This window comes from Homo sapiens, chromosome 8, assembly GCF_000001405.40.
Source record: "Homo sapiens chromosome 8, GRCh38.p14 Primary Assembly".
Classification (NCBI taxonomy): domain Eukaryota; kingdom Metazoa; phylum Chordata; class Mammalia; order Primates; family Hominidae; genus Homo; species Homo sapiens.
Window position 1 is genome coordinate 24,960,347 of NC_000008.11, and position 1,750 is coordinate 24,962,096.

The following is a 1,750-nucleotide window of genomic DNA, read 5'->3' on the forward strand; positions in this document are numbered from 1 at the left end:
ACCACCAGGTAGATACATCAGTGTCACCAAAGCTGGCATCGGTACGTGGATGCAAGGAAACCCAGTAAATAAATGCATGCAAGATACCTGCTATATGACAGGCATTTGCTATCTTGTATTGAATAATGACAAGATCACCTGGAGATGGTCACTATTATTCAGAGCAAACAGCTGAGGCCCAGAGAAGTAAGTAATTTGCCAACTCACACAGCTCCTTCAAACCTAAGCTCCACCTGCTTCCAGACTGAGGGTTCTACTCATTCCACAAACTGCAGCCATTGGCATTTACTGCTTCCTTATGTCTCTGTGGAATTTGATAAGCGAAGTCTGCCATCTGCAGAGTTTAGCGTGCATATAATAAACCTATCCTGCTTTGGGGACACCAATTTGAATTCTTCTGCACCATGAGGAAACCATTAACGAGCATGCTCCATTTGGGCAGCTAGTGGCAGCAAAAAACTACATGATTGTTGTAGGTTTCTCAAATATCCCAATGTAAAATAAAATGGGTGTGGCCAGTGGAACATGACACATAACTGGCACTGTAACATTTTACATGCAACTCTAAACATCAATTTACAAAACACCCTTTCAGGAATTAATAAGCTAAAATGCAAATTAGCTGACCTAACTCTTTAAAATGGCCACATCACGACTTCCACTTTTTTTTTTTTTCTGATTACAGTATCTTCATTTTCCACCCTTGTAAATGGGTTTTCTTTGGAAACGTGCCCTTAAAAGTTGCTCTAAGGAATAAAAGAAAAAAATGCTGGCACTGAACACCTCATTATTGGAGTTTATAATGCTTTCTGCAAGTCTTTAACTTTCTCCAAAGCAGCATGAATAAAGTCAACAGAAATGTATAGCTTGTTGAAATCACAAAGATCTTTCATCTCTGTTTCTTGTAGCCAGTTTATTTCTTTGTATATTTTGCTCACGACAGGAATCATACGTGAGTCTCCTTCATCTCTTGGGAAATATGTTTGTTTGAAAGAAAACTTTTCCCATTTTATTATCAAGTATGTCTATTTTACAGCACCATATTTTGAAGCGATGCATCATAAAGTGTGCTATGTGGCTATATAAAATTTAGATTGCAGCAGGAACGAGAATGTCATTTGAATAGATTAAGGATGGAAAGCACATTTATATTCAGAACACGTGCAGTATGAGAAATGATGGGAACTCACTGCTGTCCAAGCAGAAATGATGGTGATAGGTTCAAACTCCTAAATGCTCGCTCCAGAAAACTAGCGAAGGTAATGTGTTTTCTTCCCAGAGGCCTGCTCTGCTATGCCTTGTCCTTAATCATAGTCACCAGACTCAGAGGTAAGAGGGTTACACAGGGGACAGCCATTTCAGGCAGGTCACAGGGATATTGGTTAGAGCCGACAGTACTAACCCTGTTTGTTCAGTTGTGCTTTCCCGACTGCAAGGAAATACATGCTGCTTCTACACTTCGGGCACCAACCAGCCACAAAAAAATACATATATATTCCATGCGGCACCTGAATTTCTTTGCTGACCTTTACAGTGGTTTAATAAATCAATGGGAGGAATGTAAGCTTTAATGTTTGCAAAGGTAGAGGATAAGCATTTCTGTCTGCAAGAGACAAAGCCCCGAGTCTGGCTCTTTCACAGCCATGCTGGATGCTGTCCAGGGCAGGAGTTCAGTTTCTCGCCAGTACTTCACTGCTGCATGAATGCAGCAAAGGCTGCAGAATTGCATATGGGCGGATCCCTGGATTCC